Source organism: Homo sapiens, chromosome 12 (assembly GCF_000001405.40).
Source record: "Homo sapiens chromosome 12, GRCh38.p14 Primary Assembly".
Taxonomy (NCBI): Eukaryota; Metazoa; Chordata; class Mammalia; order Primates; family Hominidae; genus Homo; species Homo sapiens.
The window spans coordinates 8,156,357-8,180,089 of NC_000012.12; the positions used below are offsets into that span (position 1 = coordinate 8,156,357).

The 23,733-nt window shown below is 37.8% G+C and overlaps 1 protein-coding gene across 1 annotated transcript; it reads left to right on the top strand.

Annotated features, from left to right (window-relative positions):
- Positions 1 to 658: 658 nt before the first annotated feature.
- On the top strand, positions 659 to 23,690 carry ZNF705A (zinc finger protein 705A). The gene is made up of 6 exons (NM_001004328.3): positions 659 to 736; positions 16,199 to 16,281; positions 17,970 to 18,096; positions 18,872 to 18,967; positions 19,504 to 19,586; positions 20,643 to 23,690. The coding sequence occupies exons 2-6, from the start codon at positions 16,270 to 16,272 to the stop codon at positions 21,225 to 21,227; spliced, it is 903 nt and encodes a 300-aa protein (NP_001004328.1). The 5' UTR covers positions 659 to 736; positions 16,199 to 16,269; the 3' UTR covers positions 21,228 to 23,690.
- Positions 23,691 to 23,733: the final 43 nt, after the last annotated feature.

Here is a 23,733-nt window from a genome sequence, read left to right on the forward strand (position 1 = left end):
AGAGATGAAGTGGAAAACAAAGATATCAGTGCATGTTCTCGCCAAAAACATAAAGATAGTTTTTATTGCGAGATGTTTAAGATATATCAAAACATTAAAACCTTCCCTCGTTTAGTTAAAAATTACTCCTTATTTTAAAAAAATAGGTAATAGCAGTCAGAAAACTTCAGAAACTCTAAAAAGGCCCATGAGTTTTCTTCAGAAATAAAATACAGAGACACAGGCAGCCAGTGAGTCAACAAATTTTTATTGGGTAATTAGTATTTTCCTGGTATTAGGGGAACAATGAGGCATGTAACAGAGTTCCTGCTCTGAACTGTAGCTTTTCCATTTTAATATGATGGACATTGAAAAGATATGTAAATCTATAAACAGATAAAATAAATATAAGCAAGCTCTGAGATAGGAAAGTTTTCTTTCTTGGATTGGATATGTAGAAGAGTGAGTATATTCAGGAGGATTGGAGAGAATTGACATTGAGTCAGAATCATGATGCCAGTTTTAATCTTAAAACACATGAGAGAGAATAAGGGTGACATTACGGTTAAGCTGCTCTGTGAGAGGGTTGTGTTCTGAAGGATTTTAAGAACATGAAACTCTTTAGCTTGACAGACATAATGAAGTCTAAGGGAACTAATCCACCTTCCTCTTTTCCAGTGACTCGTCAAAAATCTGCATAATGGAAAATTGCAAGGGGTTTTTCCTGATCTACTTTGAAATGCAATTCCGCTTAAAGGTATAACTTTGCCATGAGTAATCAGACTTCCTGTTCTAATGTCCACATTCCTATTCAGCTTGTTCTCTGTTATGAATTCCATGTAAGTCCTGCTGCTTCAACTGGAGACCCTAAATAAGCATTTCAAACTTAATAGGCTGAAATGACACTGTAGTCTGAATTCTAAGTAAATTATGAAATAGGCAAAAGAATCAGGAAGCAATCTAAACACTCACTTTATTACTGGTAAAGCTGTACTGAAACATGTGAATTGGATTTAAAGCCAAAAAGCATTTCCTACTATGCCCAAACCCAAGTCTAAAATAGAAACCCTTTTTGGGAGAATTGTATAGGCTGCCTGAGGGGGAAAAAAGAAGTCCTTCCTCTCACTTCCTTGAGAAAAGCAACACTTGAATACTGGCCTTTGATTAATTAATTCTCTCCAGTGGAAATAATGAGAACATTTGACCCTATATAAAGTGTTTTGGATATTGTGAGAAATGAAGAAATAGGAAACATGTTGGACTTGTTAATGGAAATTCCTTCTGGGTGAATTGAAGGAGTATAGGGAGAAGAGAAAATGGTTTCTATCATGCTCATTGCCTTCTTTTTGAATCAGTTGAAGTAAAATTTGTATACCACAAAATATATCCATTTAAGTAAACATTTCAATGAGTTTGACAAGTTTTTATACTTGTAAACTGTGAAATGTTGACCTAAAAGGAAGGGGCTGAGACACAAATTATAATTAGAGTTTTCTTGAGCCAAAGTGAGGGCAGAAGCCAGGAAGAACAGACCCAAATACTCTTGGCTGTTAGCTTCCTCTGGCCTTTGTTACAGGCAGGTTTTTAAAGGAAAAAGAGGCAGACAGTGAGTGGGTTGGTACACAATTGTTTGTCAGGAATTCTCATTGGTTCACAGAAATAACACTGATTAGTGATTGGCTATAAATAATTAACTATAGATCATGGATTATAGTGTCCAGTGTGACATCATTAAGTTAATTTGTAATCACTCCTGGCAATAGCAAGCAGTTTTAAGACATGAATACATAGCTCAAAGAAAGGGAGTAGGATGTGTTTGCTCTCATTTTAATGTTTCTCTAGGCCTGATAATTTAAAAGGACCCTCAATTCTCAGATAATTTTTCTTTCTTCTTTAAAATGCAATCAAATTGAACATTTTTATTACCCGCAAAGTTCTCTAAACCCCTTCTTAGTCAATCCTGCTTCCACCCAACCCCAAACAACCATTGAGCTGTTCTAAATGTGGATTATATTTTTCTTTTCTAGAGTTTCATCCAAACAAAACTATACAGTATGTTCTCCTTTGTGTCTGGCTTCTTTTGTTTAGCATACTGTTTTTGAGATTTATCTATGTTATTTTTGCTGCCAGTAGTTAATTTCCTTCTACTAGTGAGTAGTATTTCATTGTATAAATGCAACATACATATAAATATCTATACATTTTCCTATTGATGGAAATTTGTTTTTTTCCTGGATTTGGCCTTTAAGAAAATCTCTTATAAATATTTATGTGGAAGTATTTTTGTAAATATTTTTTCCCTTCTCTTGAATACGTTTCTAGAAATAAAATTGATGCGTCAAATGGCAATTGTAAGTGTATCTTTATAAATATGCCAAACATCTGATGAAATGTCTTGGGTTTTTCTTTACGTTTTTTTCTCTGGATATGATATATTTCCTTTCCCTGACTACTTTTAAGATTTTTCACTATTGATTTTTATTTTTTAAAATTTTCCATAGGTTACTGGGGTACAGGGAGTATTTGGGTACATAAGTAAGTTCTTTTGTGGTGATTTGTGAGATTTTGGTGCACCCATCTCCCGAGCAGTGTACACTGCAACCTATTTGTAGCCTTTTATCCTTTGTCCCCCCACCCTTTCCTCCAAGTCCCCAAAGTCCATTGTATCATTCTTATGCCTTGTGTCCTCCTGGCTTAGCTCCCACATATCAATGAGCACATATGATGTTTAGTTTTCCATTCCTGAGTTGCTTCACTTAGAATAATAGTCTCCAGTCTCATCCACGTCCCTGCAAATGCCATTACTTCATTCATTTTTATGGCTGAGTAGTATTCCATGGTATAAATATATACACCACATTTTCTTTATCCACTTGTTGATTGACAGGCATTTGGGCTGGTTCCATGACTTTGCAATTATGAATTGTGCTGCTATTAACATGCATGTGCAAGTATCTTTTTTGTATAATGACTTCTTTTTCTCTGGGTGGATACCCAGTAGTGAGATTGCTGGATCAAATTATAGTTCTACTTTTAGTTCTTTAAGGAATCTTCACACTTTTCTACATAGTGACTGTACATTCCCACCAGCAGTGTAGAAGTGTTCCCTGATTACCGCATCCATGTCAACATCTATTGTTTTTTGACTTTTTCTTTATGGCCATTCTTTCAGGAGTAAGGTCGTATCACACTGTGGTTTTGATTTGCATTTCCCTGATCATTAGTGATGCTGAGGATTTTTTTTGATATGTTTGTTGGCCATTTGTATATCTTCTTTTGAGAATTGTCTATTCATGTCTTTAGCCCACTTTTTGATGGGATTGTTTGTTTTCTTTTTTGTTTGTTCTTTTCTTACTGATTTGTTTGAGTTCGTTGTAGATTCTGGATATTAGTCCTTTGTTGGATGTATAGATTGTGAAGATTTTCTCCCAGTCTCCGGGCTGTTTACTCTACTGACTGTTCCTTTTGCCATGCAAAAGTTCTTTGGTTTAATTAAGTCCCAGCTCTTTATCTTTGTTTTTATTGCACTTGCTTTTGGGTTCTTGGTCATGAAATCCTTGCCTAAGCCAATGTCTAGAAGGGTTTTTTCAATGCTATTTTCTAGAATTTTTATGGTTTCAGGTCTTAGGTTTAAGTCTGTAATCCATCTTGAGTTGATTTTTGTATAAAGTGAAAGATGGGGATCTAGTTTCATTCTCCTACATGTGGCTAGCCAATTATCCCAGCACCATTTGTTGAAAAGGGTGTTCTTTCCCCACTTTATGTTTTTGTTTGCTTTGTTGAAGATCAGTTGACTGTAAGTATTTGGCTTTATTTCTGGGTTCTGTATTCTGTTCCATTGGTCTATGTGCCTGTTTTTACACCAGTACCCTGCTGTTTTGGTGACTATGACCTTATAATATATTTTGAAATTAGGTAGTGTGATGCCTCCAGATTTGTTCTTTTTGCTTAGTCTTGCTTTAACTATGCAGGCTCCTTTTTGGTTTCATATGAATTTTAGAATTGTTTTTCTAATTCTGTGGAGAATGATGATGGTATTTGATGGGTGTTGTGTTGAATTTGTAGATTGCTTTTGGCACTATGGTCATTTTGACAATATTGATTCTACCCATCCATGAGCATGGGATGTGTTTCCATTTGTTTGTATCATCTATAATTTCTTTCAGCAGTGTTTTATAGTTTTTCTTGCAGGGGCCTTTTGCCTCTTTGGTTAGGTATATTTCTAAGTATTTTTTTTTTTTTTTTTGCAGCTGTTGTAAAAGAGGTTAAGTTCTTGATTTGGTTCTCCACTTGGTTGCTGTTGGTGTATAGAAGAGCTACTGATTTTTGTACCTTAATCTTATATCTAGAAGCTTTGCCAAATTCTTCTATCAGTTCTAGGAGCTTTCTGGAGGAATCGTCAGGGTTTTCGAGATAAATGACCATATTATCAGCAAACGGTGACAGCTGACTTCCTCTTTACTGATTTGGATGCCCTTTATTTCTTTCTCTTTTCTGATTGCTCTGGCTAGGACTTCCAGTACCATGTTGAAGAGGAGTACTGAGAGTGTGCATCCTTGTCTTGTTCCAGTTCTCAGAGGGAATGCTTTCAAGTTTTCCTCATTCGGTATTTTGTTGGCTGTGGGTTTGTCATAGATGGCTTTTATTACATTGAGGTATGTCCCCTGTATGCGGATTTTGCTGAGAGTTTTAATCATAAATCGATGCTGGATTTTGTCAAATGCTTTTTCTGCATCTATTGAGATGATCATGTGATTTTTGTTTCTAATTCTGTTTATGTGGTGTATCACATTTATTGAATGGCATATGTTAAACCATCCCTGCATCTCTGGTATGAAACCCATTTGATCATGGTTGGATTCAGTTAGCTAGTATGTTGTTAAGGATTTTAGCATCTATGTTCTTCAGGGATACAGGTCTGTAGTTTTCTTTTTTGGTTAAGTTCTTTCTTGGTATTGGTATTAGGGTGGTGCTGGCTTCACAGAATAAACTAGGAAGGGTTCCCTCTTTCTTTATCCTGTGGAATAGTGTCAAAAGGATTGGTACCAGTTCTTTTTTGAATGTCTGGTAGAATTCTTCTGTGAATTCATCTGGACTTTTTTTTGTTGGTAATTTTTTAAATTACCATTTCAATCTTGCTGCTTGTTACTGGTCTTTCAGGGTATCTAATTCTTCCTGATTTAAGCTAGGAGGGTTGTATTTTTCTAGGAAGTTATCCATCTCTTCTAGGTTTTCTAGTTTATGTGCATAAAGGTGTTCATAGTAGCCTTGAATGATCAGTGGTGTCAGTTGTAATATCTCCTGTTCCAATTACCAGAAATGCAACAGGTGGAAAGGTTAAAACATCTATTAGTAACTGCCCCTGTCCTAGCTTTACCCTCCTTAGGCAGCCATTCCATCTTTTTGTCAAAGTAAACAAGGAAGTAGCCTTAGGAGTACTTACCCAAAAGCACGGAGGCCGCCGGCAACCCATAGCCTTCCTATAAAAAATCCTTGACCCAGTAACCTGTGGATGGCCCAAATGCATTCAATCTGTAGCGGCAACTGCTTTGCTTACAGAAGAAAGTAGAAAAATAACTTTTGGAGGAAACTCCATTGTGAGCACACCTCACCAGGTCGGAACTATCCTAAGTCAGAAGGCAGAAAGGTAGATTACTGAATCAAGAATTTTAAAATATGAGGCTATCTTGTTAGAAAAAGTTGATTTAGCCCTAACCACTGATGATTCACTTAACCCTGCTGCCTTCTTAACAGGAAATTCAAACCCAGAAAAGAACCTATGCCCCCAGACCAGAAGAACTTGGGCATAAATGTTTAGATAAACTCCCTTTCAAACCAGAAGACACCTTTTTGTAGATGGTTGTTCTCAAGTAATAAAAGAGAAAAGGCATAACAGGTACTCAGTAGTAGATGGAGACACCCTACCTAATGACTGGTCTGGGCAAACATGTGAGTTGTTTGCACTAAATCAAGTCTTAAAATTTCTGCAAAACCAGAAAGGGACTATTTATACTGACTCCAAGTATGCCTTTGGAGTAGTCCACACCTTTCAGAAAATTTGGGCAGAGCGAGGCCTCATTAACAGTAAAGGCCGAAACTTAGTCTATAGAGACTTGATAATCCAAGTACTAGAGAACTTACAGCTGCCAGAAGAGATAGCAGTTGTTCATGTTCCAGGTCACTAGAAGAATCTTTCCTTCAAGAGCTGAGGGAATAATCTAGCTGACCAAGTAGCCAAACAAGCTGCCTCTTCTCAAGCAGCATCCATTTCCCACCTAATCCTTTGTCTTCCCCCTCCAGCTGCAGTCCCTATCTTCTCCCACGGAGAGCAAGAAAAGTTAAAAGAAGTAGGAGTCAAAGAAAGCCACAAGGGAAAATGGGTGCTATCAGACAAGAGCGAAATGCTGTCTAAGCCCATCACGTGAGAGATACTGTCACAGTTGGTTTCATTAATGACCAGACATTTTGTTAGTGAACACTTCCCAGACTTTACTAGCACTGCTAAGAATTAATCACCCCACTTGCTCCTGGTCTGAAACTCCAAAGTGCTTTGTTTATGTTACAGTACTTACTGCCTTGTATGTTAGATTAGTGAATGTATATTTGCCTCATCCACTACTGTATGAACTTCTTGCTTGCTAGGACAAGGCTATATTCCTCAGAACTGAGGAGGGAGTTGAATCATGTGGCTATCTATTCTCAAATCCTCTTCACCAAGTGGAACAAAACAACAGCGAAAGACCACCGCACATGGAGGCAGGAGGTCTGGATTTGGATTCTAGATCTCTAGATCTATTACTAACTGGAGGTATGGATATAGTCAGGAAAATTGTCTTCCTTAGGTGCTTCCTTGATAGCACCTATAAAGATCGAGATCTGTTGGATCTAGATCAGGGGATTCTCAATCATTACTATGCAGAAAATCAACTGGGAGGGTTACTTTGCAATACAGACGCTTAGTTCCATCTCATGATATTTTTATTTTTTTTTAAATTGGTCAAGTATTTTTCATTAAATAATGTAAACTTTCTTAGTCTACATCTAATAAAACTCCCACCAGCATACAAATACATTGAATGATATTAGCAGCAGAATCTTTAAATAGAGTAACCATACACAACTATTAGGCCACCTTTTTTCATTGCTTATTATTTCATGCTATTTGTCACCATTGTCATCATAATCAGCCTCATCCTACATTGTTGAACACCCATCATGGACCATATGGCATAAACATTTTTCCTACTCATAAAGGAGCATATGTTCTCTATATGTATATAAAATTAATGTCTGAACAAAGTGGCTTAAACAAGGCAGAAGTTTGTTTCTCCCTCACTTAAATCTATAGTTCTACCTACCATGGCTAGTACAGATACCTGCCAAATTCATTAGGGACGCAGGCCCCTTCCAGCTCTCTGTTCTGCTATACTTTAGAAGAGGCTCTAGTTTGGCTGCTAAATCCCCACCTATCATTTTTGAATTCCAGGCAGCAGGAAGGAAAAAAGCCAAGAGAGAAAAACAAGGGAACATCTACCCCTCCTTTTAAGTTTTTTAACCAACCCCCTTCTTGTTTTTTTTAACCGACTTTGTTGAGCTATGATGACATTTAAAAAGCTGTAATATTTAAGGTGTGCATCTCAGTGAGCTTGGGGATAAGTACACACCATGAACACATCACTACCATCAAGATTATAAACATATCCTTCACCTCCCTGAGTCCCCCCCTTTATTATTATTTTTATTTTGGAAAGAAATATTGGTAAGAATACAAAATCTACCCTTTTAGCAAATTTTAAGTATGCAATACAGTATTCTTAGCTGTAAGCACTATGCTGTAAACGAGACCTCCAGAACTTACTTACGTGGTATATCTGAAACTTTGTGCTCTAACCACATCTACCCATTTCCCCAGCACCAGGGCCCCTGGCAACCACCATTCTACTCTCTGCTTTTGTGAGTTTGTCTATTTTAGATTTCAAATACAAGTGAAATCATATAGTAATTGTCATTCTGTGGTTGGCCTATTTCATATAACATAATGCCCTCCAAGTCCATCCATGTTGTCACAAATGACAGGGTTTCATTATTATGTAACACTGAATAATATTCCATTGCGTATATGTATTAGCCATTTATCCTGATACTCTCCCTCCACCTGCCTCCCAACAGGCCCCAGTGTGTGTTGTTCCCCTCCTAATATCCATGTGTTCTCACCGTTCTGCTCCCACTTGTAAGTTAGAATGTGCAGTGTTTGGTTTTCTGTTCGTGGGTTAGTTTGCTGAGGATAATGGCTTCCAGTTCCATTCATGTTCCTCCAAAGAACATGATCTCATTCCTTTTTATGGCTGCATAGTATTCCATGGTGTATATGTACCACATTTTCTTTATCCAGTCTGTCACTGATGGACATTTGGGTTGATTCCATGTCTTTGCTATTGTGAATAGTGCTGCAATGAACATATGTGTGCATGTATCTTTATAATAGAATGATTTATATTCCTTTGGGTATATACCTAGTAATGGGATTGCTGGGTCAAGTGGTATTTCTGGTTGTAGGTCTTTGAGGAATCACCATACTGTCTTCCACAATAGTTGAACTAATTTACATTCCCACCAACAGTGTAAAAGTGTTCTTATATCTCAACGGCCTCATCAGCAGGTAGTTTTATTTAAAAAAATTTTGAGAAACCTTCATACTATTATCTGAAATGGACATAGTAATTTGTATATCCACCACAAGTATACAAGGGTTTTCTCCACATCCTCACTAATACTTGTTATACATCTTTTTGATAATAGCTATTCTAAGAGTTATCAGGTGATATTTCATGGTGGTTTTTATTTGCATCACCCTGATGATTAGAGATGGTAAGAATTTTTTCATATAGTTGTTGGCCATTTGTATCCGTTCTTCTGGGAAATGTCTACTCAGATCTTTGCCCATTTTTTTTTTTTTTTTTTTTTTGAGATGGAGTCTCGCTCTGTCACCCAGGCTGGAGTGCAGTGGCGTGATCTCGGCTCACTGCAAGCTCCACCTCCCAGGTTCACACCATTCTCCTGCCTCAGCCTCCCAAGTAGCTGGGACTACAGGCACCTGCCACCACGCCCAGCTAAATTTTTTTTTTTTTTTTTTTTTTTTTAGTGGAGACAAGGTTTCATCGTGTTAGCCAGATCTTTGCCCATTTAAAAAAAAAATTCAACTTTTATTTTAGATTTAGGAGATGCATGTGCAGGTTTTTACATTGGCACATTGTGTGATGCTGAGGAGTATGAATGATCTTGTAACCCAGATAGAAAACATAATACCCAATAGATAGTTTTTCAGGCCTTTGTCCCCACCTTCCCTTCCCCCTCTAGTAGTCCCCAGTATCTGTTGTTCCGATCTTTACGTCCATGTGTAACCAATGCTTTGTTCTCACTTATAATTAAGAACATATGGTATTTGGTTTTCTCTTCCTGCATTATTTTAGAATAATGGCCTCCAGCTTCATCTATGTTGGTGCAAAGGACATAATTTTTTTACAGTTGCATAGTATTCCATGGTGTACATATACTGTATTTTCTCTATCCACTCTAACATTGATGGGCATCTAGGTTGATTCCATGTCTTTGCTATTGCAAATAATGCTATAATAAATATATGAGTGCACACATCTTTATGGTAGAACAATTTATTTTCTTTTGGATACAAGGGTCAGTCCCCATGGCTGCTGACAAGGGCCAGTGTTGAGTGCCTGCAGCTTTTCCAGGCTCAGGGTGCAAGCTGTCAGTGGATCTACCATTCTCGGGTCTGGAAGATGGTGGCTGTCTTCTCAGAGCTCCACTAGGCAGTGCCCCAGTGTGGACTCTGTGGGGGCTCCAACCCCACATTTTCCATCTGCATTGCTGTAGTAGACATTCGCCATGAAGTCTCCACCCCAGCAGACTTCTACTGGACATACAGGCTTTTCCATACATCTTTAGAGATCCAGGTGAAGGCTTCTGATATGGTTCGGCTCTGTGTCCCCGCCCAAATCTCACCTCAAATTGTACTCCCATAATTCCCACATGTTGTGGGGGGACCCAGTGGCGATAACTGAATCATGGGGGCAGTTTTTCCCATGCTGTTCTCGTGGTAGTGAATAAGTCTCACAAGTTCTGATGGTTTGATAAGGGGAAACCAGTTTTGCTTGGCTGTCATTCTCTCACTTGCCTGCTGTGATGTAAGACATGCCTTTTGCCTTCTGCCTCCCCCCAACCATGTGGAACTGTAAGTCCAATTAAACCTCTTTCTTTTGTAAATTGCCCAGTCTCAGGTATATGTTTATCAGCAGTGCACTCCTGTACTTTGTGCACCTGCAGGTTTAATACCCCATGGAAATTGCCAAGGCTTGTGGCTTGCGCCCTCTAAAGCGGTGGCCCAAACTATGTCTGGGGCCCTTTTAGCCATGGCTGGAGCTGGAGTGGCTGAGACCTAGAATGCTGTGAGCACTGTCCTGCGCTTGCACTGGGCCCAGCCCACAAAACCATTCTTCCCTCCTAGGCCTCCAGGCCTTTGAGGGGAGGGGCTGCCACCAGCCAAGGTCTCTGAAATGTCTTTGAGGCCCTTTCTTCATTGTCTTCTATTAGCATTTGCTTTCCTTTTAGTTACCCAAATTTCTGCAGCCTGCTTGAATTTCAGACAATACCAGTGGTCTTACAAGTGCTACATGACCCCTATAACACTTCCTGACTTCATTTCTGCAATATATTTTATTTTTTTACATCATGATGAACATTGAAACTTTTTATATCTATTCACCTTCCATTTGTTTTCAAGTCCAGTTTACCTCCAAAGAATTTTAGAATATAGAGTCTCCATAAGACTCTAGTTTGTCTGGTTTCTTGCTGTATCCCTTGACTGGGAATGCTTTCTAGTACATATAATACACTCAAAAGTACTTATGAATAAAAAAAGGAATTAATCTTCACATTTTTACTTCAAAATAGCCTTAACTCTTTGGTTTCCAACTTTGTGTGAGGGTTTTTAGTAGTAGTCTCAAAAATCCAATCAAACTGAACAGGGAGTGTCTCCAGAAGGAAGTTTTTGATTAGGTTCAGTGTCTGTGCAATCAGGGCATGTCTCTTGGAATGTAGTGGTGATTAGGTTTATTAATTTTTTTTCATATATAAGGGGAAGCCAATCAGAGGATGCATTTTCCCAGAGAAAGAGCATCTGAAGAGTTTAAGACCTTGGGGAAAGAGAGTCTTGCTGCTTGCTTGTGGGACTTGCCTTGGAAGGTAGATAAGTTCACTGCATCCTCCCACTTTTTATTTCTGGTGAGTTCTCCAAGCACTGAGATGTGAACTGGTCTCATTCCCTTACAATGATACTGTTACCAGTAGAAGAGATTCCAGTTACTGGCAGCATATCTGCATGGGTCCATAAGAAACTTCAGTCCTTGCCTCCTCAGAAGAAAGAACTCGACTGAAGGGCATACAGCGGAAAAAGAGACTGAGCGCTAAGTTTCAGAGCAGGAGTGGAAGTTTATTTAAAAAGGCTTTAGAACAGGAAGGAGAGGAAAATTCTCTTGGAAGAGACCCAGGCAGATGCCTGAAGGTCCAAGAAAGAAAAGAGAAGAGGCTTTAACCTTGATCCTGCGATGGGTTTGCCACTTTCCCATGATTCTTCCTTTAGGGAGAGTTTCCGGCATGCACAGTGGTTTCCTTACCCTTTGAAATTGAGCATGCACGGTGTGTTTAGGGAGTTATATCCATGTCCATCTGAAGCTTTCTTTCCTTTTCCGGTGGAGTGTGCCCCCGGAAGATTATGCTTTGCCATTTTTGTCTCTTAACATGCACGCCCAAGAAGTTGCTTCTTCCTGGGGTCTGCATTTAGTTCACATTTTTGATGTTAACAGGTGTAGACCATCAGGAAACGGCCTCTCTCTGATGCTGCCTAATTATCATTTTTAGAGAGGCAATGTGATAACTGACAGGCCGTCACCTGACATTTCTAGTGGGTAGGGGAAGAGCCCTCTCCTGCCCTGCTCATGCTCTTCTATCTGTAACAAGACAAGCCTTGTATATCATTAGACATTTGTCCCATCAAGGCAGCATCTCATTATTACATTTTATTGTGTGAATTGTTACTTGACATTCTCATATTCTGTGTTCATTATTTGTGTGCCTTTTCCATTTTTGTTTTGACCATATCTCATTATTTGAACTGCCTCCTCCAAGATTCTAGATCTGCATTGGCCAATATAGTAACTACTAGTCACATGTGACTATAAACTGTAAATTAATTATAATTAAATAACTAAATGGCATATCCTTAGTAGTAATAGCCAAATTCGTGGCCAAACTAGAAATTCTGTAACTACATATGTGTGGTAGTTACTGCATTGGACAATGCAGATATAGAGAATTTCTTTCATCACAGAAAATCGTGTTGGGCATGTTGGCTACCACTTATTTTTAAATTCTATTTGTGTGGTTTATAGTTAAATTATATTCTGCTTCTCTATATTCATTTCCTGTCACAGATTTTCTCAAGCAATTTTTAAATTTCATTCATTTACCTTATTGAGGTAAGTACTTAGATTATTTTTTTAAAATAATGTACAGCAAATAATTTTTCTATGGATACTGTTTTAGCTTTATTGTATTGGTACTTTTACGTACTATATTCAGGTATTATTATTTTTCATAACTTACTTTAAAAATTGTGCCAAGTTTATTTAAAATAGATTTCTCCCTTGATTTTCAGATGTTAGATTCTGTCTTCTATTGCTGTATTTTAATTTAATTTTATTTTATTGTATGTAAATATGTTGCATATTCCTTTTTTTAAAATGTGAGATTTTTCCTCTCTCCTGTTACACAAACTTTGTATGCAGTGTTCATTATGCACTTTAAAAATAAATATTTTGTTTCAGGGCACGGTGCTTTCACACATAAAACCTTAGAATAATTTTAAATTCCATTCCACTTTCACCATTCCTGAACTGCTTTGAATATATTGGATGTTGGAAGCCATGAGAGGCTTGCAATCCTGTCAAGATAATAGGATTTTCCATTTATAGTGTAATCTGACTTGCAATCCCGTCAAGATAACAGGATTTTCCATTTATAGTGTAATCTGATATATATTCGTTTTGGTTTCATACTTTAAAAAAATCTATTCTCCTTTACTCTGTGGTGGTCTTTGCATTTCTATGTGTTCATTGCTAGAATGTCAGCTGCTGTTTCCCTAGCACCTCAGATGTCATTCAACATTGTATAGCACTGGTGTTGAGAAGTGAGAGAATCTACTAAATAATAGCACTCTTCGAGACTGCAGTTGTGAATTAAAGGAAGGGAAAAGACAGGCAAAAGAATATAGACATCAGCTATTTTTACTGAAGATCTGTTGGAGAACATGGTTTTGTTGTCCAGGAACTTGAGACCTAATACTGCATTCCTAATACTTCACTAAGGTGTGTCTAAATAGCCGTGAAAGGGCTAGGAGGTCACAAGTCGGCCTCTTAATTTTTACAGTTGCCGTTAAAACATTAAGGTAATATTGAGGGTGCAGAATGGCTCCTTCCTCATGACTTTTTAACAGATCTGGGCCGGGCACGGTGGCTCACGCCTGTAATCCCAGAACTTTGAGAGGCGGAGGCTAGCGGATCACCTGAGGTCAGGAGTTCCAGACCAGCCCTACCAAAATGGAGAAACCCCGTCTCGACTAAAAATACAAAATTAGCCGAGCACGATGGCGCATGCCTGTCATCCCAGCTACTCAGGAGGCTGAGGCTGGAGAATTGCTTGAACCCGGGAGGTGGAGGTTGCAGTGAGCCGAGATCGCGCCACTGCACTCCAGCCTGGGCAACAAGAGCGAAACTCTCCCCCCCCCCCCAAAAAAAAAAAGGAGAGAGAGACATCTGGAGGGAGATCCTAAGCTGTGCAGGCTCTCATCTTGAAGTCACCAAATACATAAGTTGTTATTCCTGCTCTGGTGAAAAGTTTGTCAATACATTTTTTTCCATGAATTAATGAAAATTTTAGACCCATAACATGTTTTTAAAAGTTTCTCCTAAAGATTGCTTGTGTATGTATGTGTTTTAAAATATATTTAATCTCTACATCTTGAAATAGTTTTTATAGATTCCACACAAGAGTCCTTTATGAAATAAGTATGCTTTAACTTTCTTATAATATTTGTCCCTTTTTGTCCCTGGCACAGTCTGTATATGACCAGGTAATGACTTTTCATTCATGTTTGGGTTATAATTACACACAAATATTCTCTAAAGCCCAAATCTTATTTTGATATTCGAGGAAGAGCTTACATGGTAATAATATTAAGGGTTACAGCTGGTTTCACCGAAGCTTTGTAGGCCTTCTCTAATATCTTATTTTTTTGAAGGAATAGCTGTTCTGCTTGAATTATAGACTACATAATACATGTACTGTCAGGTACATTCATGGAAGGCAGATGGAGTCATATGTTACTGGAGTCCTGATGAACAGATGTAGAAAATAGTCCAAGGAATAAGAAAAAAGTTGATATTGAAAAGTGCTTGTTGAAGTCTGTAAATGTGCATTAAATGTGGCAGTAAAAATAGACACAATGATGTTTGGGAATTGGGGTCTAAATTCTGGAGTCCCCAGAATCATAGAGAACCTTGGTTAGGGGAGTAATTTTGTCAAAAAGCAAGAAGAGGCAGTGACAGGCAGAATATAATTAAAAGTATTGCTGGGTCATTTTCTAATTTTGTAATTTTGTCATATTTTTCAAACTCTGTTGATCATTTATTAAATTGGTAAATAAATTATAATCAGCAGGGTTATTATGAGGGTTAAATAAGGAAATATATGTACATCTGTAAGCACAATGTCACAATTAATACAAAGTTACCCTTTTTATTTTTCCTGGACTTCATGTACAAATGGGTCAGTAAATTTTTTGTTTATGACACATAATTATCACTTGTACATAAAATGTATTTAATTATTTTTATATTTTTAGCAGGGAAATAATACATGCATGTTTCCCCCTGTCTCAAACACATACATTCATATAAACATATGCACCTATATACCTACATATCTATGTACGAATATATACATGGACATCGGTATTTCTCAGCAAATATGTATCATGATAATCAGAGATATTGCAACTAACAAAGACTAATATAAACCACGATTGCAAGAATTTTAGATACCACGTTAGTAAAATATCAGATTGAGCTGCTAAATTTCTCCCACCCCTACGTCATTTTGTGTTTTCTGAGCATCCTAGAGGATTGTGACTGTATGCACAGGACAGAAACACCATGACTCAGGGTACTCCTGCTAATTTCTGATGCAGGAGATTTTAAGGGCTAGATTAGCAGGATGGGAGTGTTGACCCTCTAAGTGAAATAAATCCCTGGATTGATTACCCCCATCCTAAAACAGATTTTTTTTTTGAGACAGAGTCTCGCTCTGTCACCCTCGCTGGAGTGCAGTGGTGGGATCTCGGCTCACTGTAATCTCTGCCTCCCGGGTTCAAGAGATTCTCCTGCTTCAGCCTCCTGAGTAGCTGGGATTACAGGCAAGCACCACCATACCCAGTTAATTTTTGTATTTTCAGTAAAGACGGGGTTTCACCATGTTGGCCAGGCTAGTCTTGAACCCTTGACCTCAGGTGATCCACCTGCCTTGGCCTCCCAGAGTGCTGGGATTACAGGCATGAGCCGCCACACTCGACCCTAAAACAGATTCTTACTTGATTATTTCCAGGTTCCAAGGGGAAATACAAAAGTCAGAGTTGAGTGAAAATAAAAGTGGAGTAAAGCTTCAGAAGGCTGTGGTGGGTGTTGGAGAAACATTGCTAGGGCATAAAGCTAGGATAATAAAATCTGAGAAATCCCAGTGTTTATCTATAGGTGGAAATCATATTCCACATGTGGATGGAGTCAGGGATCCCTGTGTTTTAAAATCAGTGAGGGAATTGAATATCTGGACTTGTGCCAATTAACATACAAAACTCCGTGCTTTTGATGTTCTCATTCACAAGATATCTGTGTTCCTTCTTTATTAGCAACCATAGTCATAGGCTTCCTAATTTTGACCACGGGAAAAGAGGAGAGGCCTCTGCGTGTTTGTGTCTGTTGGTTAGGCTGTGGTGCAGCTGGTGTCACACTTCAGTGAAAGTCTGGCTTTTCATCGGTTGATCTGAAAATTGTGCACAAGACTGCTGTCTCACATGTTCTTTCTCCAACCTCAGCTTTTCTTAGTGCCTAAAGTGTCTGCACATGGAAATCCAGAGGTAGACAGAGAGAAACTGAGTTCCGGACAATGCATTCACTAGTGAGTAGGGGATGCTTCTTTCTACTGAAATTATACCCATATTGCTGGCAAGTGGGCATTTTTCTCCAATTTGCATGGGTGTTTCATTTTTATTCTTTTCTGTTTGTTTGTTTTTATGATGTAAAATCCACCTAGCCTGGGTATTCCAAATGCAATCAGGAGGCTTTCAGGTATCTGGCCTCCAATTAAGTTTTCTCAGGACTCTAGGTGGGGTATCGTGTGTCAAAGACTCCTAAATTATCAATATAATTTCTAATATTACACTATTTTATTCCAGCCCCTATTAAGGCTATTTACAAAAAAAGATATGAGAGGTTTCATTTATATATTTCTTTTTCTTCTATCCATCCTATAATCTCATAGGGAAATAATTGACCCATTAACTGTACTGTTGGCTGAAATAGACTTAGGATTGTGATGAATGCAAGCGATAGAGATGAGCGAAGAGCAGAACATCACAGCCCAACAATGAGTCTGATGTTCTAGCAGCTGAGTTCAATAAATCCAGTGTGATAGGACTTGCTGTGCAGTGTTGAGGGAAAAGAAGAGTTTGATAAAATATATTTGAGCTTCTAAAAACTTTGTGAAAGGACAACTAAAGAAGTCATTATTATTCTTATCCCCATTCATTTTACCTTTTGGTAATTAACCTTTTTGCCTTCTGGTAAGTGAAAGTAACATATAAGAAATATAATTATTTAATTACGGTTGCACACTCAGAAGAAGGAATATAGTAGATAGAGTACAATTTAGGGTTCTGTGGAAATGCTTTATACGGGCTGGTTAGAAAAAAAACAATGAAGAGGCTTTTTAAATCTTTGAACAAGTGAAGTGAGAAGGTAAATTTAAAAGAGAAACAATGATAACTGATGTTTGGATTGCCGAGAGAAAGTTGAGAACAGGAGGCTTCATATCACAGGAATCATCGGACTAAGATTTCCTCAGTATAGCAGCCTCAGCGGTCTTGTCTTGTGCTGCTAGACTGTCTTTAAGCCTTGTCATGAACACCTGAATTATATAACGTTAAAGAGACTATATGTATGAATTGAATCCTATATTCTGCATAAAGCTTTTTCAGTTCTGAAGAATGCTGGAGTCTGGTTCATTACTTTCTAACTTTTTAATGAATAAGGGATCAATGACTTATATTTAATAAATATTTGCTAGATAGGAAACACGTTTTCTATTAGTCCATTAGATTATTCAAAACACATCATAGGTCTCTTAACCATTTGATTGGTGAGAAACCTGTGGTTCATTAGAGAAATAGTTTATTTCATCACAGTCATGTTTAAAAAGTAGTAAATCATGGTTATTTGCCTTGTGACAAATCCGTAATTTACTTGAAATTCATGGTAAATTTCATTTTATTTATGAATGTTCAAGTGAAAATTTTATAATCAGTTATGTAGAGGTGATTAACACATTACTGAAAAATATCTGGGTTATATTATGCCACACCTCACGCGATATTTCTTTATAGTAAAGTTTAATGGATTCAGAGTGGGTATATCTCTGTGAGTGAATCTGAAAGGCAGATACCAGCTTAGTACTGAGAATGAACTGGCTGGAACCCAAAACACTGAGTATTCTGCATACCCAGCTCCTAGCTATGTCATCTCAGCCTTCCTCTTCCGGACATTGAAAGGGATTTCTCTGTCTAAACTAAAATGTCTGTGATGTTTTAGAAGAAAGTGACTTTTGAAGATGTAGCTATTGACTTCACCCAGGAAGAGTGGGCCATGATGGACACATCCAAGAGAAAGCTGTACAGAGATGTGATGCTGGAAAATATCAGTCACCTGGTGTCCCTCGGTGAGTCCCTCAACATTCACGTACATATGTAGACACACATTCGCTCATTCATTCAATAAGTGTTAGAACAGCTTCCCCATATCTCACTCTAATCTCTTCTCTGCTTCTCTCACAGATCTCATCTGAAAAAAGTTTGAACTTTCTAAATCTATCTGAAATAAATATCTTTCTTTTTATTTTATTTTATTTAGTTTGTCACTCAATTAGAATGTAGTCTTGACAAGGATTTCATGGTTTCTTTGGTACTCAGTCTCTAATACTCATAACAGACCTGGGAACTTAACGAATATTTTCAATGTATTAAATTAAATATTTTCTAAATAACTCTTCTGCTTTAGTCTATGCTTAGGCTGAGACCAATTAGTGAAAACAATAGCAATATCTTTTCCATATAGAACACCAATTATTTTTGTAAATCGAATTTTTTTTTGTTCTGTGTGAGAATAATAATAAACACACTGTGCAGAGATTTAATTACTCTCTTTCTGAAAAGATTGTGTATTATGCATTGTGTCTTGGAACTTAGGCATGGACTCAGCATTCATAGGTCCTGACTGTTTTGAATTTCCTTTTCCTGATGGCCCTTTTGTTTAGATTTATTTTCCAGTCTCATGTTGGGTCAGAAAAGTCCTGGGGAGTTTTCTGTGTTCTAGGTCTTGTGGCCTGAGCTGACCTTCACTGTTTTTATTCTTCCTTGATAGCCTGCCTTACACTTGGTGATAATGCACATTTATTGACAGTGAACTCAAAACACATGTATTCTTTCCACTAACAGGGTACCAGATAAGCAAATCCTATATAATTTTGCAGCTGGAGCAAGGAAAAGAGCTGTGGCGGGAAGGAAGAGAATTTCTTCAAGACCAGAATCCAGGTAAGCAACAGGGTCCTGTGCTCTAATAGGAGGAGGTGCTTTGTCAATGAATAATATCAGTTGAATATTAATTAGTGGTTTTATTAAATGAGTGATAATTTCTAAAATGTAGGTTAGGCTACTGGAGCAGAATTCCTTAGATGTTATTGTCATTTTGTTCATGTGTCAGATGCTACTCTTGTGTCCTCTTTTTTTACTTTTCTTTCACTTTTAGGAAAAGGATAATTCATGTACTTGGCTGGGGTTAAACTTTCATATGCTGACTCTTTCCCTGATACCCCTGTGAAGACTATCCCTCTATTTACCTGCCTGATATCTCATCTCCATTTTAACTCTTTTCACATTTTAATTTTAAAAATCTTTTCTAATTGCCGACACTGTACAATCTATTTCTTCTATTCAAGTAGTTTCTTCATTTGACACACTTGCCACATCTAAGTGTCAACTTTTGAAAAAAAGTAAATGGGCCTTGGGGCTTTTCAAACAATTTTATTACCATAATACCAATGTAACAATTTATTTTTCAATTATTTCAGACAGGGAAAGTGCCCTTAAGAAAAAACACATGATATCCATGCATCCTATCACCAGAAAAGACGCATCCACCAGTATGACAATGGTAAGTTTTATAGCTGTGTACACCAGTCATCTAAGTTAAAGACATGGTAATGGGTTAAGTTAGTAATGAAGCACAATCACCTGAGTGTAATTAGGCTGGCATTAAGTGCTTTCTAAGCAAAAAAAAATTGAATACTTTGAATTTAGTGAATACATTGAACTGTGTTCTAAACCATAACATGAGATCTCTAAAATAGAACAAGTGCATATACATTGCTCATGCCCAGACATTGAAAGATATTGATATCATCACAATTATGCAATAACTCTGCAGTTGAGATCTTACAGAAGAGAACATATCTGTGTCTGCAGGAGATAATGTGTATGCAAATGTCAATCGAGAAAAATGACAAGACAAGTCTCAATCATTTTAGGAGATTTATTTGCCAAAGTTAAGGACATGCACCCAGGGGACAGGTGTATGCCTTTCTCCAAAGAAGATTTTGAAGGCTCCAAATTTAAAGGGGAAAGGGTGGGATATTGAGAAGTACACAATTTTCATGTAAAAGGTAGGTAGAAAAAATAGTCATTCATGCATTTTTCTGGCTCAGTGAATCTGGATTTTTTCACATAAGATGACATAAACAAATGAGGCAGAGGAATAATGCAGGAAAGCTGCATTTTACATAAGACAACATAGGCAAAATTGGGCAGGGAAACAATCAGATATGCATTTGTGTCTGGTGAACTGGGGATGACTGCACCTGTAAAGACAAGTTATCAGTTTGCATTGCCATGGTGTAATTTTAACAGCTCATGAGGAATTTCCTTGTGGGCAAAATATGGGGGAGGCGTGTAGCTTTTCATCTTGTAGCCGTATTATTTAGGAACCAGAAGGGGGAGGCAGGTTTCTGTGACCCAGTTCCCAGCTTGATTTTTCCATTTGGTTAAATGAGTTTGGGGTCCCAAAATTTAATTTCCTTTCACACAAGAAACATTGGAAAGCTTTCAACTGGGGTCTACCACTGAATGTTTGGTCTAGGATTCAAAGGTAGTGAAATGAATGTATAGATATATGTGGGTAAACCATTAAGAGCTTTTAATCTTTGTCCCAAAGGAGAACTCTCTCATTCTGGAGGATCCTTTTGAATGTAATGATTCGGGAGAAGATTGCACTCACAGTTCCACAATAACTCAGCGTTTGTTAACTCACAGTGGAAAGAAACCCTATGTCAGCAAACAGTGTGGAAAATCTCTTCGTAATCTTTTCTCCCCTAAACCACATAAACAAATTCATACTAAAGGTAAATCATATCAATGTAATCTATGTGAAAAGGCCTATACTAATTGCTTTCGCCTTAGACGGCACAAGATGACTCACACTGGAGAGAGGCCATATGCATGTCATCTATGTGGAAAAGCCTTCACTCAGTGTTCTCACCTTAGAAGACATGAGAAAACTCACACGGGAGAGAGACCATATAAGTGTCATCAATGTGGGAAAGCCTTTATTCAATCCTTTAACCTTCGAAGACATGAGAGAACTCACCTTGGAAAAAAGTGTTATGAATGTGATAAAAGTGGGAAAGCCTTTAGTCAAAGCTCTGGCTTTAGAGGAAACAAAATAATTCACACTGGAGAGAAACCACATGCTTGTCTTCTATGTGGGAAGGCCTTCAGTCTGTCTTCCGACCTTAGATGACATGAGAGAACATGCACTGGAGAAAAGCCATATGAATGCCATTTATGTGGGAAAGCCTTCAGTCAATGTACTAGTCTTAAATAGCATCAGAAAATTCACGCTGGAGAGAAAATTATAAACTTCTTCAGAACATATTCTGACTTTAGATGACACTGTGTTAGGAATGACGAAGGTAAGGAATGTGGAAGAGACTTCAGCTGTAGTTGTAGCATCTAAACATGCCAAAGGACTCATATTTTGAAGAAATACTGGAATCAACATGGAAGATACTTCAGTTACCTTTATTCTTCAGTCCACATCAATAAATTCATATGGAAGAGAAATTGTATGACATGTATGTACCAAAGACTTGTTAGTGATCTGAGCATAAATGACATGAGAGAGCTGAAACTGTCAACATAGTCAACTAAAAGTCTTCAGCAACAGCTTTAACTTAAAACATGTGGGACTTTCAGGTAGAGAATCTCTAACTCTGCATTCAGTGTGAAAATATTTTTATTTGCAATTTATTGTCAAATAACATGAGAAAACTTTACTTGGATGAACCCTTTATTTGTATTTTCTGTGAATAAACATTCAGCCAAGCACCAGGCTTGATGTTCACAAGAAAACAGAGTGATAAAATGCTGCTAAAATGGAAAATAAGAGAGGAAAGCCTTCATAAGCTAAATAAGAAGGGAAAGTCTTTCCAAGGGCAATGAATTCTCTTGGAATACCAAATACTTCTTACTGGAGAAGTTATGCAATGAAAAATCATGAGAAATCCTTTCTTCATAGAGCAACACTTGTGGCACATGTGAGATTTCACACTGGACAAAACATGGTTAGCATCCTGAAAGGAGAAAATTCTTTAGTGGTAATTCATTTCTTAGTTGACATTAAGTTTCTCACATTGAGGAGCTATCAAACTTGAAAATCACTGTGGAGAAACCTGATAGATTTCTCATCAGAAAAGTGAGTCAAGAAGGTGGACCTCTAGAAAAAACTCTTAACACATACTTTAGCAAAATAATTCAGAAATTTGAGAAAATATCTATTCATAAAAATGTGGCATATAAATGCATAATAGTAAAGTGACCAGGGAATAAATTGAATGCAGAATTATATAAGAAATCTCATTAAACTTTTCCAAAAGATCAATACTTACAAATATTGAAAGAATACAATCTGTTGTTGAAAAAACTTAGTATGTTGGCGAAGCCCTTGTTTCATTTATGCAGCCCTAACAAATCGATTTGCATCTGCACTCCTTGGGTGAGATTCTTGGTCGAGATTCTACCCCAACTTCTGAGTCTCCCCAGTCTTTAACAGCTCTTTCCTCACAGCTCACCTCCCTTTACTTCAACGTCCACTAAAACCACTTGTTTCCATCCAACCCTCGAGTTGACACACCAGGGATCTTCAGCCCCACTTGCTAGATTTCTCAGTGTGTCATTGCATAGATTTAGCAGGGAAATGGAGGCTGTATCAAAGACCCCTAGTATATGCATTTGGGTGTCCGCAGCCCTTGCCTCTGTCTCTGAGCAGTTACCTGGGATCAGAGAATAAGGCAGCTCTTCTCTTCTATCCCTCAGAAGGCTCTTGAAATTTTGTCCCTGGAGCCTCTCTAACTGGAAGTAGCAGTTCATCTCATGACACCCCACATTTTATTCAGGTGAGTCCTGAGTTATTACACAGAGACAGACACAGCTGTGCTCCTTTTACTGCAGTCCAGAAGATAAAACACCAGCATGATAAAACAGCCGAACCTGTCAGCCACCTTGCAAGCCTTTCCTATATTCGATTCAATGTACTTTTCCCGAAGCAAAATGAAAGTTCTCACAGAGGGGCCCTCCTCTGCCTTGTCCTCAGAATTGGAAAATGTATTGTCCGTGAAGGAGCCTCAGTACTGAACCTAAAACTCAAGAGAAAATGTTTCCTGAATATCAAGTGGGATGACTTGAAATTTTGCCAAACAGGCACAATCTTAATACGATCGGCCTTACTAAGGCTAAATGGCCTTATCCGTGGTTGAAGTTGACAAATCAATATATTAAAAAATCTCCACAAGTGATTGATTTTACTCTGCAGCCAGGGTTTATGTCAAGTGTGAGGATAATGAGCAAGAAATTCAAGCCCTTGGCAAACTGGTTGGAGAGGCAAGGACTGTGTCCAGGCAGAGCTCATATCATTATTTATTGTTTAATCTATTTAATTAAATATGTAATTTACCCACAAACTGTGGCTGACATTATATGTACTCCTGAGCCACATTGAGATGTACTATTTGTGCTATGAAATTCTATGGGATTTGACAAATGCATGGTGGCAGATCTCCAGCCATTATTAAAGCGTAACACAGAATGCTTCTCTTATTCAAGCTCATCTTCCCTCCACATAGAGGGAATCAATCGACTTTTGTATACTGATTTTTGAATTTGCTTCTTTATTTCCATCTTCTTCAATTAAAGCACAAGATATCGTACTCAATTTCCATTTGATCTTCCAAAAGAAAAGTACTGAATAA